This window comes from Homo sapiens, chromosome 12 (genome assembly GCF_000001405.40).
Source record: "Homo sapiens chromosome 12, GRCh38.p14 Primary Assembly".
Classification (NCBI taxonomy): domain Eukaryota; kingdom Metazoa; phylum Chordata; class Mammalia; order Primates; family Hominidae; genus Homo; species Homo sapiens.
The window spans coordinates 45,354,498-45,371,855 of NC_000012.12; the positions used below are offsets into that span (position 1 = coordinate 45,354,498).

At 37.9% G+C, this 17,358-nt stretch overlaps 1 protein-coding gene across 6 annotated transcripts in view, besides 1 other annotated feature; it reads left to right on the plus strand.

Annotated features, from left to right (window-relative positions):
• Positions 1 to 17,358, plus strand: part of ANO6 (anoctamin 6) — a 224,310-nt gene that overhangs the window by 138,403 nt on the left and 68,549 nt on the right. For all 6 annotated transcript variants that reach the window (NM_001142679.2, NM_001204803.2, NM_001025356.3 and 3 more), the window contains 2 exons: positions 2,793 to 2,927; positions 13,191 to 13,296. In NM_001142679.2, coding sequence (NP_001136151.1) covers positions 2,793 to 2,927; positions 13,191 to 13,296 — 241 coding nt within the window. The remainder of the gene's footprint in view (positions 1 to 2,792; positions 2,928 to 13,190; positions 13,297 to 17,358) is intronic.
• Positions 16,665 to 17,202: an enhancer, noted in NCBI's record as "H3K27ac-H3K4me1 hESC enhancer chr12:45764945-45765482 (GRCh37/hg19 assembly coordinates)". NCBI's record gives its function as "activates a minimal SCP1, AML or CMV promoter by ChIP-STARR-seq in naive and primed H9 embryonic stem cells {active_cell/tissue: H9 hESC(naive and primed)}" and the evidence as "EXISTENCE:reporter gene assay evidence [ECO:0000049][PMID:30033119]".

Sequence of the window (17,358 nt, forward strand, 5' to 3'; positions counted from 1 at the left end):
AGAGAGGGACAGAGAGATCCCAGGTGACACAGTTCTGTGATGGGGCTTGGAGAGTCATCAGTCAAGGTTGGAGGAGGTCTGAGGGCATTTATTCAAGGAGTTGAAACTGAAAGACAATCTCATGTGTTTGAGCCTACTGAGAAAGTTACACATTAGGGGAGAGTCTGGGGTTGAATTGCTGATAAGTACACAGAAAACTAAGCAATGAACCATCAAGACAATTATTAACTCTAGGGAGAACAAGATATTGAGCAGGGAGGAAAAAGTAATTATAGCAGTGACTTGATTCAGCTGTGAATAGTGTTTATAGAATCATAATAATGTAAAGCAAGAATATTAATCTAACCAAAAACTATAATGTAACTATGTCAGGATGGCAGGAATAGAGATGTGGATGTTTAGATGAGGCAAGGAGTTGAAAGAGAGCTTAATCCACATCTTCCAGAATAGAAAGTCAATAGGTGATGCATAAAACTGAAAAATCAATAAACAGCACTTCTCGCATGTTATTTAGAGATAGGGAAGTAAATATTCTAAGCATCAACTATAAAAGTTTAAAGTGACTGCTTCTGGGCAGCAGGAAATAGGGGAGGGGGTAGGGGACTGCTCCTTTTTATAACCAGCCTTCTAGAGCTATTAGACTAATGACTGTATACTTGTAACTTTGATTTAAAAAATCAAAGCTGAATTTTGTTAAATTGATTTTAAGAGTTGGGAGGTGTTTGGCAGAGAGGGACAATGATCAGAAAATATTGCATTTGAAGGAATCCTCATTATTTCCAGCTTTTCAGCAAGAACTAAGAGACAGATTTCCTTTTGAGATTTGAAAAATCTTTCTGGCCTTGCCTACAATGTAACAGGGATGCCTTAGAAAGTATTGAACTCCTTGTCACAGTAAATAACCAAGCAGAGACTGCCTGACCAGCTCTTTAAATACAGCAGGATTTTTTTTATTATTGGGAGCTTGGACCAGGCAACTTCTAAGATTCTTTCCAATTTAAATATGGCATTTCCAGGATGGATGGCTGATGAAAACTTATTACAGAAAGCATAACCAAAAAGAGGCCAAGGCGTCTCAAACCCATGGCCAGACTTCTCTCCCGGGCTGTATCCTGAACCTGCCGTTTGCCTGCCTTCCATGAGCCAGAGAGCAAAGCTCCGGTCACGTGAAAATCAGCCCACTGTGTTCCTCCCATCTCCCGATTCCACCCTCAGGTCTGTCTCAGCTCTTCCTTTTTTCCCTGTGGATGTGAACTACACCCAGGCCTGTGACCCATGGAACTGGTCTCAGACCTTCCCTGTGAGTGCTTGTCCAGCCCAGGGATGTTCCTGTCTGAAGTCTCCCAGGACTCCAGGTTTTGCTCAGAGCTAAGTCCCCACGAGGCTAAGACCAAGGAGTTCAGCCCAGCTCCATACTGAGCCTGAAGTCTCACGTAGGCCTCAGAGTTAAGTAAATCTCCTTATCGTACAGATCAAGATGAAGGCAGAAATGAGTCATTCTTGGGGAATATCAGCAACAGCAGCAGTCACCTGAACCATCTCTTCATTCCTAAACTCTCTTTCTGCCTAACTGTACTTGACCTTCCTTTCAGGAACAATTTTGGCACTGCTTCTTGGTCAGCCTGCCCTCTTTAATCTTGCCTACGTGGCCTCTTCAGTTTTACCCCAGAGTATACCATTAACCAGTTTTTAAAACTTAGGAAAAAATAGAAGAGCTAGCTATAAGGAATACAGGGTGATGGATTCCTCAATCATATGCATCCTTCCCTCTTTCATTCTCACATGAGTTTTGCAAAAATTTTGGTCAGAGAGACATTCCACTACAAATTAGTGGTTTTTTTTCTTATTATTACAGTTGCCCCTTGAACAACACAGGGGTAGGGCAGTGACACCCGCACACACATACAGTCGAAAACCTGCATATATATTTTGACTCCCTTTAAACTTTTAATGGTCTGCTGTTGACTGGAAGTCTTACCAATAACATGAACAATCAATTAACAAATATTTTGAATGTTATATGTATTACATACTATATTCTTACAATAAAGTTAAGCTAAAGAAAAGAATGTTATTAAGAAATCATAAGAAAGTATATTTACCATTCACCAAATGGAAATGGATCATCATAAAGGTCTTCATCCTTGTCTTCACATTGAGTAGGCTGAGGAGGAGGAAAAAGAGTAGGGTTATTCTTGCTGTCTCAGGGGTGATGGGGGAAAGAGGTGGAGGAAGTGGAAGGGGAGGCAGGAGAGGCAGGCACACTAGGTTTATCTTTTATTGAAAAAAAATCCACATTTAAGTGGATCCGTACAGTTCAACCCTGTGTTGTTTAAGGCTCAACTGTATTTGTGACTTACGTTACATTTTCTCCAAGGAACTTCCCTAGTTAAGTAAAAGCAAATAACTGAGCAGATTGTTCATGTTCATTTGTCTCATGCATATAAAGAACAGTCTTTTGGAGAATGTGTAAAATAGTGCTGGTCTTTACAAAGAATGATAGTAATACTCTGTATTTATTCCATAATCAGCATTTTTCTCTCCCTTGCTGTATTTTAATGTACTTTCACCAGGCAAACCAGCAATAGTGATCAGTTCTTCCATAATGTGTAATATACTTTTTGTTTCATCGTAGAATTCAGGGTCTGCTGTGAAAATGAATGTTTTAAGGGTGAATTGAGTCAGATTTAAGCTTAAAGCCTCTCCTTTATTTAAAATCAGAAATTAATATTAGGATGAAGCTACGGAGTAATTATTTGCATCTTCTAAAAATAATTTCTGTCTTTCTTCAGGAAATACTATGGAGAGAAGATTGGAATCTACTTTGCTTGGCTGGGCTATTACACTCAGATGCTTCTCCTGGCCGCAGTTGTAGGAGTGGCTTGCTTTCTCTATGGATATCTTAATCAAGATAACTGTACATGGAGGTAACCTCTGTTTATTCCTTGTTGCCATGCTGAAAAGTTTATTAGACATAAAATTATTTTCATGGTCTTAAACTGTTTTGGTAAGACAAGACTGACTGCAGAACATTCATTGCTTGGGATGATATATCCCTTTTGTTCTGAGCACAATAACTGAGTGAAATGGAAAAATTTTTTTCTTAGATAATCCAACCCAGTGTCTGACATGAATATTACCCCTAGGAAACACTCCAATATTTTAAGACAATATTTTGTTTGAAAAAGAAAGGAGGACTGGAGGCGGGAGGATTGCCCTTGAACTTTTGGCCCCTAGAGGAATGTACACTCAGCCCTGCAGATGTGAGCCAAAAGCAGCTCTGATTTCTTCAGGGTTCCACTGGGAAAATTAGTGAGGGGTTTTGTTTTTTGTTTTATTTTGTTTTACTTTTAGAAATGATTTCTTACTACTAAAAAGTGCTTGTTTAAAAACTCAATAGTTGTTTTGGTTTTTACATTAAAAAATAGTTCATACAATGTTTAAAAAAATGTAGTGAAAAATTAGTTTGTACTGAGGTTGAAATTCAAACACCAGCTGCACTCTCTAAAGGGACATATGTGGGTGCCAGAGCACTCTAAATTTCACCATCACTATTCTGAATGGTATTATTAGACCTCTGCTTTTGGTGGTCTCAACTTCCAGCAGGGATGCAGCACGGAACCAGGATTTTCTCTTGATATCTGGCTGCTATCCAGGTGTGCCAGCCAGATAAAAATTTCTGGGCACCAGCAATGAGCTGATAACCAAATTTTTCAAGCCTGAAGCATGTCAGCCTGCTCCTGAGTTAGGTTGCTTACATGGCAGCCCTGATGGATAGACATAATTACGCTTCGATTTAACAGAGGATTCTGAGCATGTTGTACCCATTATGGCTTCTTAGCTTGAAAGCTGCAGATGGCTTTTGAAGTACTCTTCCCTCCTCACTGAAAAAGAGTTTTGGGCCAAAGGCTGAATGTTGTTACCTTTTCTCTAAATTTGTCTTCAGCTTCTCTGTTGGTTTGTACATTGTTCTAGTTTAAAAAAAAAAAATCAAAAATACATTTCAAAGTGCAGAAGTTGCATTTTTATAAGGTCCTCATGGGTTGTTCTTGTTATAACTTATTTTACAAAATCACCATGATAGTTACACCACATATTTCCTAGCATTTCACACAGATTAATTTGCAGAAAATAGAGGGAAGTTCTTGGGGATATACTGCCTGTGCTCAAAACTATTTGGCTTTAATTATTTAATTATGAGATATCTTTAAAATATCTAAATTATAAATATTTTCAGTTACTTTTATAGTTTCTATCAAATACCTGTTTAAAGCTTATGTCCCTCCTTTTTTTTTTTTTTGGTGGTGGGGGCAGTCTTGCTGTGTCGCCCAGGCTGGCGTGCAGTGGCGCCATCTCAGTTCACTGCAACTTCTGCTTCCCAGGTCCAAGCGAGTCTCCTGCCTCAGCCTCCTGAGTAGCTGGGATTACAGGCTGCGCCACCACACCCGGCTAATTTTTGTATTTTTAGTAGAGATGGGGTTTCACCATCTTGGCCAGGCTGGTCTCGAACTCCTGACCTCAGGTGATCCGCCCGCCTCGGCCTCCCAAAGTGCTGGGATTACAGGCGTGAGCCACTGTGCCCGGTCCTTATGCCCCCTTTTAAAAATAACAGTTATATAGAGACATTATTTATATACCATAAAATGACCTTTTTTAAAGTGCACAATTTAGGTGTACCCCTTTCCCTTAGCCCCTGGCAACCACTAATCTATTTGCTTTCTGTTTCTAGGGATTTACCTATTCTGGACATTTCATAAAAGTATTTAAATATTTTAAATGTTTTCTATTCTTGTGAATCTACTCAGTATGTAATAAAATTGAAAATATTAAAAATGTGTAAACAATTCAGGTGTTTTAAGTGCATTCACCAAGTTGTGATCACCACCATCTAATTCTAGAACATTTTTATTGCCCTCAAAAGAAACCAGTGCCCATTAGCACTCACTCCCTAATCCCTCTTTCCCTTGGCCCCTGGCAACCAACAGTCTACTTCCTGTTTCTATGGATTTGCCTGTTCTGGACATTTCATAAAAGTGGAACTATACATTATAAAGCCTTTTGTGACTGTCTTCTTTCATTTCACCTACTGTTTTCAAGGTTCATCCATGTTGTAGCATGTATCAGTACTTCATTCATTTTTGTGGCCAAATAATACTCCATGTGTGTATAAACCGCATTGTTTATTCATTAATTGATGGACATTTGGGTTGTTTCTACTCTTTGGTTATTATGAATAATTCTGCTATGAACATTCATGGACAAGTTTTTGTGCAGACACATGGTTTCACATCTCTTGAGAATATAACAAAGAATGGAATTGTTGGGATATACAGTAACTGTAGGTTTAACATTTTGAGGAACTGTCATAGTATTTTCCAAAGTGACTGCATATTCCACCTGCAATGTATGAGGACAATAATATCTTCACATCCTCATCAGCACTTAAAAAAAATTGCCATTCTAGTTGGTATGAAGTGGTATGTCATTGCAGTTTTGACTTTGTTTTCTCTAATGTCTACTGATGGTGAGCATCTTCTCATGTGTTTGTCATTTGTATAGCTTCTTTGGAAAAAAATTTGTTCAAATCCCTTGCCTATTTTAGTTGTGTTGTCTTTTTATTGTTGAGTTGTAAGCATTTTTTATATATTTGGGATAGAAGTCTCTTATTGGATATTGTCTTAGTCTGTTTGTGCTGCTGTAACACAGTACCACAGACCAGGTAATTTGTAAAGAATAGAAATCTACTTTTCATAGTTACAGAGGCTGGAAATTCCAAGATCAAGTTGCCGACATTTGGTGTCTGGTGAGGGCTGCATCCTCTGAAGGAGAGGAATGCTGCATCTTCACATAGCAGAAGGCATAAGGGCAAGTGGGGAGAACTCCCCTCATCAACTCCTTTTATAAGGGCACCTAATCCCATTCATGAAGGATGAGCCCTCATGGCCTAATCACTTGTTAAAGTCTCCACCTCTTAATATTACCACACTGGCAATACCTAAATTGGAAGAGACACATTCAAACCATAGCAGATACATTGAAAATATTTTCTCCCATTCTATGGATTGTGTTTTCACTTTCCTAATAGCATCCTTTGAAACAAAATTATTTTTAATTTTGATGATCTCCAGTTTACCTTTTATTCTGTTATTTGTGCTTTTGGTGTCATGTCTTAGAAACCATTCGTAATCCAAAGTCATAAAGTTTTTTTTAACATTTATCTTCTAAGAGTTTTATGGATGTAGGTTTATGATTTATTTTGAGTTAATTTTTGTAAATGGTATGAGATAGGGTCCTGCTTTATCATTTTCCATATCCGGGTATACCAGCACCGTTTTTGAAAAGACTGTTCTCTGTTTAATTATCTTGGCACCCTTGTTGAAAAGCAGTTGGCCAAAAATTTAAGAGTTTGTTTATAGACTCAGTTGTTTTCCATTGATCTACATGTCTGCATTTTATGCAAGTACCACACTTTATTTATCACTGTAACTTTGTAAACTTCAAATTTTCGTTTTTCTTTTTCAAGATTGTTTTGGCTGTTCTGGGTCTTTTGCATTTCCGTATGAATTTTAGGATCAGCTTATCTATTTCTAGGATTTTGATAAGAATAATGTTGATTCCATAGGTCAGTTTGGAGAGTATTGCCATCTTAACAATATTAAGTCTTTTAATCCCTGAACACAGGATGTCTTTTCATTTATTTAGGTCTTTCATTTCTATCAACAATATTTTATAGTTTCAGTGTGTAAGTCTCATACTTGTTTTTTCTCTTAAATTTATTCTAAGTACATTGTTCTTTTGATGCTATTATAAATTGTTTCGTTAATTTAACTTTTGGATTACCTATTGTAGTGTATAGAAATGTAATTGCTTTTTTGTATATTGATTTTTGTGTGTGTGCTGCAACCTTGCTAAACTGGCTTATTTGCTCTAATAGTATTTTGGGTGGATTCCTTAGGATTTTTATATACGATGTCATACTGTCTGTGAACAGAAGTAGTTTTACTTCTTCCTTTCCAATTTGGAGGACTTTATTTTTTCTTACCTAGTTGTCCTGACTAGAACCTCCAATATAATGATCTTAGGAGGAAAGCATTCAGTCTTTCACCATTAAGTGTGATACTAGGTGTGGGTTTTTTCATTGATACTCTTTATCAGGTTGGGAAAGTTCTATTCCTAGTTTATGAGTGTTTTTAATCATGGAATGATGTTGGATTTTGCCAGATGCTCTTTCTGTGTCTATTGACATTATCTTGTGTGTAGTTTTTGTTCGTTATTCTATTAATATGGTATATTACAAGAATTGATAACTTTTGTACTTTGAATCATCCTTGCATTCCTGGATAGATCCCACTTGGTCATAGTATGTAGTACTTATTTTATATGGCAGGATTTGGTTTTCTAGTATTTTATTGAAGATTTTTCCATCTATATTTGCAAGAGATATTAGGTCTCTAGTTTTCTTATGTTGTCTTTGGTTTTGGTATCAGCATAATACCAGTCGCATAGAATGAGTTGAGAAGTGTTCCCTCTTCTTTGTTTTTAAAAGAGTTTATGAAACATTGGTGTTAATTCTTCTTTAAATGGTAGGTGGAATTCATCAGTGAAACCATCTGAGACTGGGCTTTTCTTTGCAGGAATTATTTTTTTTCTGTTAGTCCAGTCTCTTTATTTGTTAAAAATAGGTCTATTCAAGTTTTCTATTTTTGCTTGAGTTACCTTAAGTAGTACATATTTTTCTAGGAATTCTTCCATTTTATCTAAGTTGTCTAATTAGTTGGCTTATAATTATGCATAGTATCCCCTTATAATCCTTTTTATTTTTGTAAGAGTAACAGTAATGTTTCCCTTTTCATTTCTGATTTTAACCCTTTGAGTCTTCTTTTTTTCTTGATCAGCCTAGCTAAGTTTGCCAATTTTGTTATCTTTTCAAAGAACCAACTTTGTTTAGTTGATTTTTTTGTTACTTTTCTGTCCTGTATTTCATTTATTTCCACTTGTTGCCTTTTGATTTTAATATTTAGTTCATTTATATTTAATGTAATTACTCATGAAGTAGGAGTTAAACCTGCCATTTTGCTATTTGTTTTCCATGTGTCTTTTTGTCTCTTGTTTTTCTATTCCTTCATTACTACTTTTTTTGTGTGTTAAATAGATATTTCTAGTATGCCATTTTAATTCCATTATTGTTTCTTTATCTTTTTTTAGTGGCTTCCCTGGGGATTATAATTAACAACTTAATTTAAAATAATATAGTTTGAATTAATGGCAATTTTAATTTCAAATAGTACACAAAAACTTTACTTTGGTACAGATCTGTTCCTTCTCTACTCCTTTGTGGTATTATCATCATGCAAATTACAACTTAATGCATTATAAGCTTACCAACAGTTTCATAATTGTTGCTTTGTGTCTTTTAAATAAGATAGAAGAAAATAGAGACATACAAAAATATACTACTTTTCATATTTATATATGTAGTTAGTTCTATCTCTGCTTTTTTTTTCTGTAGGTGGATTTGAGTTACTGTCATGTGTCTATTTAAGCCTGAAGGACTCTCTTAGTATAGGTTAAGTGTTTCTTGTCCACAATGCTTGGGACCAGAAGCGTTTCAGATTTCAGATTTTTTTCAGATTTTGGAAAATTTGCATTATACTTACCATTGGAGCATCCCAAATCCAAAATGCTCCACTGAGCATTTTCCTTGAATATTATGTCAGCACTTGAAAAGTTTTAGATTTTGGACCATTTCAGATTCAGATTTTTGAATTAAAGGTGTTCAATCTGGGCTGAGTGCGGTGGCTCACGCCTGTAATCCCACAACTTTTGGGAGGCTGAGGGTGGCAGATCACGAGGTCAGGAGTTTGAGACCATCCTCACTATCACAGTGAAACCCCATCTCTACTAAAAATACAGAAACTTAGCCGGGCATGGTGACATGCGCCTGTGGTCCCAGCTACTTGGGAGGCTGAGGCAGGAGAATCGCTTGAACCCGGGAGGCGGAGGTTGCAGGGAGCCGAAGTCACGCCACTGCACTCCAGCCTGGGCAACAGAGTGAGACTCTGTCTCAAAAAAAAAAAAAAGAAAAAAGGGTGTTCAGTCTGTGTTTCTGGTAGGGCAGCTGATATGATTTGGCTGTGTCCTCACCCAAATCTCATCTCAAATTGTAGCTCCCATAATTCCCACATGTTGTAGGAGGGACCTGGTGGGAGATAATTGAATCATGTGGGCAGTTTTCCTCATATTGTTCTCATGGTAGTGAATAAGTCTCACAAGATCTGATGGTTTTATAAGGGGAAACGCGTTTCACTTGACTCTCATTCTTTCTTGCCTGCCTCCATATAAGACATGCCTTTTGCCTTCTGCCATGATTGTGAGGCCTTCCCAGCCATGTGGAACTGTGAGTCCATTAAACCTCTTTTTCTTTATAAATGAACTAGTCTCAGGTATGTCTTTATCAGCAGTGTGAAAACAGACTAATATAGCAGGTCTCTGCCAACAACAGATTCTTTCAGATTTTATTTATCTGGGAATGTCTTAATTTCTCCATTTTTGAAGGATGGGTTTGCTGGATATAGAATACTTGGTTGACAGTCTTTCTTTCAGCACTTTGAATATATCATCCCACTGCCTCTGGCCTCCATGGTTTTTATGAAAAGTTAGCTGCTAATCTTACTGAGGACCCTTTATATGTGATGAATCACTTTTCTCTTCCTGCTATCATCATTCTTTGCCATGATTTCTTTGGCTTTGTCTTTACACTTTGAATGTGATACTCCTAGGTTTGGATCTCTTTGAGTTTATCCTACATGGAATTTGTTGAGTTTCCTGGATATGCAAAATAGTGCTTTCATTAAATGTAGGAAGTTTTCAGCCATTGATTCTTCAAATATTATTTCTGTTTCTCTCCTTTTTTCTCTGGGACTTCTATAATGTATGTGTTGGTATATTTGATGGTATCCCACTAATTTCTGAGACTGTGTTCCTTTGTCCTCATTCCTTTTTTGTTCCATTTCTCAGATTGGATAATTTTAATATTCCTAGCTTTCAATTTGCTGATTCTTCTGCTATTTCATATCTGCCGAGGAGCCCTTCTAATGATTTTTTTATTTTAGTTATTGTACTTTGCTAATTGGTTCTTTTTAATAATTCCTATCTCTATTGATATTCTCTTTGTTGTGCTTCCTTTAATTCTTTAGGTGAGATTTCCTTTAGTTCTCCAAATATGTATAACTGCTAAATATAAAAAGACTTCATCTAATAAATGCAATATCTGGGTGTCCTCAGGGACAGTTTTACTGACTGCTTTTTCCTCTCTGTGTTAGGACCATAGTTTTCCATTTCTTGGTGTATCTTGTAATTTTACATTGAGAACTGGACATTTTAAGTATTATAATGTAGCAAATCTGGAAATCAGGTATTTTCCCTGTTCAGGGTTTGTTGTTGCTTCCGTTTATTATTATCACTGTTACTGCTGCTTCCCTTTGTTTACTTTCCTGAACTACTTGTCTTTGTCATGTGTGACCACTTAAGTCTGTGTTCAATAAGTTTTGTTGTTAGCTAATGATTGGATTAGCTGGTGACTGCATTAAATGCCTAGTACCAGTAATTTTCGTTTCTCTGCCTTTGCCTCATCTCATGGCTGTGTGTGAGTGTGTATTGAGGAAATGTGTTTAACGCTCCAGCAGGTAGTTTTCAGCTCTTCCTTAGCTTTTTTTTCTTGCCAGTGCAGAACCTCAAAGTCAGCCAGAGGTAAGGGATTAAGGTTTTCTCATGTCTTTCTTGGCCATGTGCACTGTCCTACACATGTGCATGGCCTTCTGCAATCTCAGGAATATGTTGGAGCTTTTTAGAGCCCCCTGTGCACATCTCATTTCCTAATTTTTCCTTTTAAGTTCTTTGGTTGACCTCTTGTTACGGTATCACTGCCTCAAGCAGCTACAATGTAAAATAATTCTTGCCGATTGCTTTCAACACTTTGGTGATAGTGCTGTTCACAGTATGAGCTCTGAGTATGAGGTTTAAAAAGAATGGCAAATCCTGCGCATGGAGCTTTTTGGGGGAGCTGCTAGGCAGGTCAAATAGTAAGACTTCTCTGAGGATGGGGTTTTGGGGGTAGCTTTAGACTACTTCTTCCCCCTTCAGTGGCTGCTAGGCTGCTATTTTTCACAGCTTCTATAGTTACAAGGCTGTTGGTTTTTAAGGCTACCATGAAGCTAGGGAGATGGGGATGGGAATCAGTGAGGTTAACAGGTGTCATCATTCTTATAGAGATTTAGCCAGTTTTCCTCAAATAAATGCTCCTCAGATGACATCAAGCACTTGCTCCTCAGATGACATGAAGCACTTGCTCCTCAGATGACATCAAGCACTTGGTTAATTTCCAGAGTTCTGCAAAGGCTGATTTTGACAATTTTTGCCAGTGTTCTCATTGCTTTTATGGAGGGAGAGGGTTTTCCAAGATCTTTACTCAGCTATTCTAGGAAAGCTTCCCATTCCTATTTGTTTTTCCTTAGTTATTTGTAAGACCACCTAACTGCACAGCTCCAGTCCTAGTTACATACAAGCCTAGCCTATCTGAATGGCTTCTCCAAAGGGAGCAGCGTGCAATGTTACTTGGGTTTTTTTTTTTTTTTTTGGTATTAATTTGTAGGAGTCCTTTAAATACTCTGACAAATAATCCTGTCATTTTTATGTCTGCAAAACTTTTACCAATTTGTGGCTTATATTTTTCTCCCTTTAATGTTATTTTTTAATGACATTCTTTTAAAATATCTTGAATGTATCAATATTTTTCTTTGTGGTTTATGCTGTTTCGTTTCTTGTTTATGCAATTCTCCTTACTCTGAGGTTATCTACATTTTTTTTTCTAATAAGTTGGTACGTTGGCATTCTCATTTTCTACCTGGAATTGATGTATATAGAATATGATTACAGGTTCAATTTTATGTTTGTTCATATGGATATCCTGTTGTACCAGACCCGTTTTATTGAAATGTCAGTTCTCACTTTACTAATTTGCTTGGCCAGCTTTGGTATAAATCAGTTTTTATATAGGCAAGAGGTCTGTTTCTGACGTCTTTATTTTCTTCTGTTGGTCAATTTTTCTTAACCTCTCCCATAATGCCTTTGTCTTCAGAAGTATTTTGACTGTTCTGAGCCTTTGCTTTTCCACTGAATTTATAGCTTAAATGGGAGATAACTAATATCTTTAAATATTGATTATTACAAATTGTGAATATGGTAGTGTAGGCCTTCTTTACTGCATTTCAGAAAAATTCTATTTTCTCCCTATAAATCTTAACATAGTTTGAATTAGATTTATTCTTGAACACTTTATATTTTTTACACTATTGAAATGGTACTTTTTAAGAATTATTTCCTAATGATTACAGGTGTATGGGGACATAATTCCTTTTTGTATCCCTGTGTGTATTTTGTATATTGATTTTGCATCCAGCCAACTTTACTGAACTTATTTTTGTTTTGTTTTGTTTTGTTTTTTGAGACAGAGTCTCACTCTGTCACCCAGGCTGGAGTGCAGTGGCATGATCTCAGTTCACTGCAACCTCCACCTCCCGGGTTCAAGCAATTCTCCTGCCTCAGCTTCTCGAGTAGCTGGGATTACAGGCACGCACCACCATGCTCTGCTAATTTTTGTATTTTTAGTAGAGACAGGGTTTTGCCATGTTGGCCAGGCTGGTCTTGAACTCATGACCTCAGGTGATTCACCCACCTCGGCCTCCCAAAGTGCTGGGATTACAGGCATGAGCCACTGCACCTGGCCTTTACTCAACTTATTAATTCTAATAATTTATCTTTAGGGTCTATTAAGTCATCTATATAGATAATCATGTAATCTGTTAGTAATAACAGTTCTCTTTCTTCCTGGCCTATCCTTGTGGCCTTATTTTACTTGACATACAATGCTGGCAGAGACCTCCAGCTGAAAAGAAACAGTGATAGCAGAATCTTTTGCTTTATTCCTGACCTAAAGGAATTACTTTCAGCGTTTTACCATTTAGTATGATTTTTAATGAATTTTATGTAACAAAGTTTTATGTAACAGAAGTTCACTTCTGTTTCTAGTTTTACAAGATCGGTTTAGTTTTGTTTCTTATTGTGAATGGATATTAGATTTTATCATGCTGCTTTAAATTTTTTAAAATTAAGTTTTATTTCTCTCTTTTTAGCAAAGAAGTTTGTCATCCTGATATTGGTGGCAAGATCATAATGTGTCCTCAGTGTGATAGGCTTTGTCCATTCTGGAAACTCAATATTACTTGCGAGTCCTCAAAGGTAATTTTTGCTATTGCCAATATTTACACCTAATGAAAGATTTTTTTTCTAATGCTAATTTAGATAAAACATAGTATTGTATCTTTTTTCCTCTGAGGAATTAAGATATTTTTCAACTAACCTTTCAAACATTCTGGACATTAATATACAATGCTTTATTCCTCTTTTACAAATAATAAAATTGTGATTTAAGACCTTAGATAAAATCTCATAGAGTGTCAGTGAGATAATAGTGGAATCTAAACTATTTGAGTATTTCAAGTAATCAAAGCAGAAATCTCAAACCCATTTTATCTTATAAATACTTTTTAATAGATTCACTACAGGTTGAGTATTCATTATCTGAAATGCTTGGGATCCAAGGTGTTTTGAATTTTGGATTTTGGAATATTTGCCTTAGACTTACGGGTTGAGCGTCCCTAATCCAAAACTCCAAAATCTGAAATGCTGCCTTGAGCATTTCCTTTGAACATTATGTCAGTACTCAAAAAGCTTTGGATTTGGGATACTCAACCTGTGTAAGTATTTTCCTTAATTCAATTAAGTGGAAACCTGAAATCTGTACTTCTGTTTTCCCCCTTTCAACATATGCCAAAACTATGCTTAGATTGTAAAGACCCTGATGGTCAGATTTAGACTGTCTCTATAACTATGCATGAGAAGGGTTTTATATGTGATAAAAGGTATTTGTCTTAAAACATTGCCAGAAAACACATCTAGCTCTCCTTATACATGCAGATGGTCGTGAGCTTTATGACTTCTTAAAATTTGGGAGGTTTCAGACGAGCATGAAGAATGGAGGGAGCTTACTGAAAGCAGGCTGGAAACTCTGGACAGATAGATGGTCAGCTTATTTCAGAGCATTTTCCTTACAATCCTGACCTACGCTTCCCTCCGATGATCTTCTCTCTATCCCCTTGTTCTACCATGAGAGTTTAGGAATCATTAGTATCCCTAGAACATTGTAGCCTACTCCATGTAAGTCAGATTTTAACGGAATGTATTGCTGTTATACTGATGCCACTTTCTATATCATACTTTGCATAGTTCTTATACTTACCACTTTTGACATATACAACAACCCTGTGAGATAGACAGAACAGGCATTATCTCCATTTTTACAGCGTAAAATACTGGCTATCTGGGAGATCAAATAACCTGCCCAAAGTCACCCGCCTAGTAACTGGCAAAGTCAGAAATTTATAAGAAATCTGCATTTCTTGTCATTACCATATTCTTTGCCAGCTGACATTGCAGGCACTTTACTCAGATCCAGCTCTGTTTGAGAAATTGTTTCACTACTTAGTTAAGCTGATTGCAGGGTGTTGTCAACAGATGGATTTTTACACTTAATTTAGAAATTAAGCCCCCTCTCCCAAACCAACACAAACTCTAGACTATAAATATCTGTTGTAGATCACACAGAGTAAAAGACTTGAAGCTAGTAAGAGGGAAGCTGCTTCCAGTGATGCTGACTCAGAGGCTAAAGGGCACTAGTTAGCTGTACCCTGAAGCACTGGCTTTAAGGCAGATGCCAGCAATAAGACCAGAGGCAGATTGTCATCTACAAAGATGCAAGTGGAAGTTTCATTTTCCTTAAGAAGTTCTCTCGACACTCCCCACACCCACCTCTTCTTCTTTCTTCTGCTCCACCTACCCTCCTTAAGCACATGACTTTCAAATATACCCCTGTGTGCATTTTTTTGTTTTGAAAAAAAAAAATTGAATCTTTAATTCTATTCTAGTTTCCTGAAGAATCCCTTGAGTCTTGTCAGAATGATTTTCAAGAAGAAAGAAACATGAAAGAATATAAGTAAGGGGACTAAATGGAAAAAAAAAAGTTTGAAAAAGAAAAAGCACTTTTTCTGGCTTTTCTGTTTGTGAATTATTTTTTCCTTCATACATTTATTTGTGTATTCATTTACACATCTTTCTTTTGGAAAGAGTACTAATTTACAGATATGCTTACCTTTTAGCAAATTAAAAATAGAAATATGAAATTAGGAAACAATTACACAAATAATAAGGATTCATACTGTTTTTGTGATTATTGAATAAGATTCTTAGCTTTCTAGCTGGCAAGATAAAAGGGAAACATGGTAAGTTCTAATATTCTGCTCATAAAAACATATTTAGTTATAAAATTTTGACTTTGCTGCTTTCCAGGAAGAAAGCATAACAAATTCTCATTTTTTTCCCCCAAAATTCTAGTTGGTTTCTCTGCTTAAAATCATCTTGCCTACATATGCAGCTCTTTCTTTTCTTTCCTGCTCTATGTGACTAAAGCAGTATGCTGATTCAGACCGCTCTTAACACAGCTGTCTTGCCCTCTCTGTGCCATCCCACCTAGCAAGCTAAGCTAGGCTTCTTACCCAGTAAGCTCCTTGCTTCCTTTTTCCCTTACTTCCTGCTTCCACATAGTCCATGGAACACAGAGCAAAGAAGTCAGCCATCTTATTCTTTCTCAAGCGTCCAGGATTCTCACACATGTGGCAAGAATACGAACTTCATCCAGGCCTAACTCCCTCTCATAAGAGTGCTAGGCATGTCCATCACCTTGAGCAAGGCAGCTGGACTGATCTTGACATTGGCAGTACACTTGCTCTTTCATAATGCTCCCATTTTACCCTCTAGCACTGACAGATGTGTTTCCATTGACATTTTCTCAAAAGAGTAGAGCTAAGAATTCACAGGTGGGGTCTTCTTTTTGGAGTAGGTGGGCAGAAGTGTCAAGGCAAGTAGAGTGTTGTCAAATACTTAGAAGATTGCATTGACTCCTAAAATGGAAGTGGCATTGGACAGAATCTTCAATAATAGTATTACAACATGCAGAACTGTTTTTTATGGGACCTTTCTTATAATTTTACAATAAAGGATAAGGCATAACATTAAAACTTAATTTGGAGAAGATGGTTCCATAAGAGTCAAAGGTAAAAGATTTGAAATATGTGGTCTTATGGAATCCCTGGACAAGAGGAGTAGGTGGAAAGGATTGTTCCCCAGAGCAGGCACGCATTTATTGTCTTCCTTGAGGTTTTTTAGAAGAATGATTGGGAGGAGGAGCCAAGATGGCCGAATAGGAACAGCTCCGGTCTACAGCTCCCAGCCTGAGCAACGCAGGAGACGGGTGATTTCTGCATTTCCATCTGAGGTACCGGGCTCATCTCACTAGGGAGTGCCAGACAGTGGGCGCAGGTCAGTGGGTGCACGCACCGTGCGCGAGCCGAAGCAGGGTGAGGCATTGCCTCACTCGGGAAGTGCAAGGGGTCAGGGAGTTCCCTTTCCTAGTCAAAGAAAGGGGTGACGAACGGCACCTGGAAAATCGGGTCACTCCCACCCGAATACTGCGCTTTTCTGACGGGCTTAAAAAACGGCGCACCACAAGATTATATCCCGCACCTGGCTCGGAGGGTCCTACGCCCATGGAGTCTCACTGATTGCTAGCACAGCAGTCTGAGATCAAACTGCAAGGCGGCAGCGAGGCTAGGGGAGGGGCGCCCGCCATTGCCCAGGCTTGCTTAGGTAAACAAAGCAGCCAGGAAGCTCGAACTTGGTGGACCCCACCACAGCTCAAGGAGGCCTGCCTGCCTCTGTAGGCTCCACCTCTGGGGGCAGGGCACAGACAAACAAAAAGACAGCAGTAACCTCTGCAGACTGAAATGTCCCTGTCTGACAGCTTTGAAGAGAGCAGTGGTTCTCCCAGCACGCAGCTGGAGATCTGAGAACAGGCAGACTGCCTCCTCAAGTGGGTCCCTGACCCCTGACCCCCGAGCAGCCTAACTGGGAGGCACCCCCCAGCAGGGGCACACTGACACCTCACACGGCAGGGTACTCCAACAGACCTGCAGCTGAGGGTCCTGTCTGTTAGAAGGAAAACTAACAAACAGAAAGGACATCCACACCAAAAACCCATCTGTACATCACCATCATCAAAGATCAAAAGTAGATAAAACCACAAAGATGGGGGAAAAACAGAACAGAAAAACTGGAAACTCTAAAAAGCAGAACGCCTCTCCTCCTCCAAAGGAACGCAGTTCCTCACCAGCAACGGAACAAAGCTGG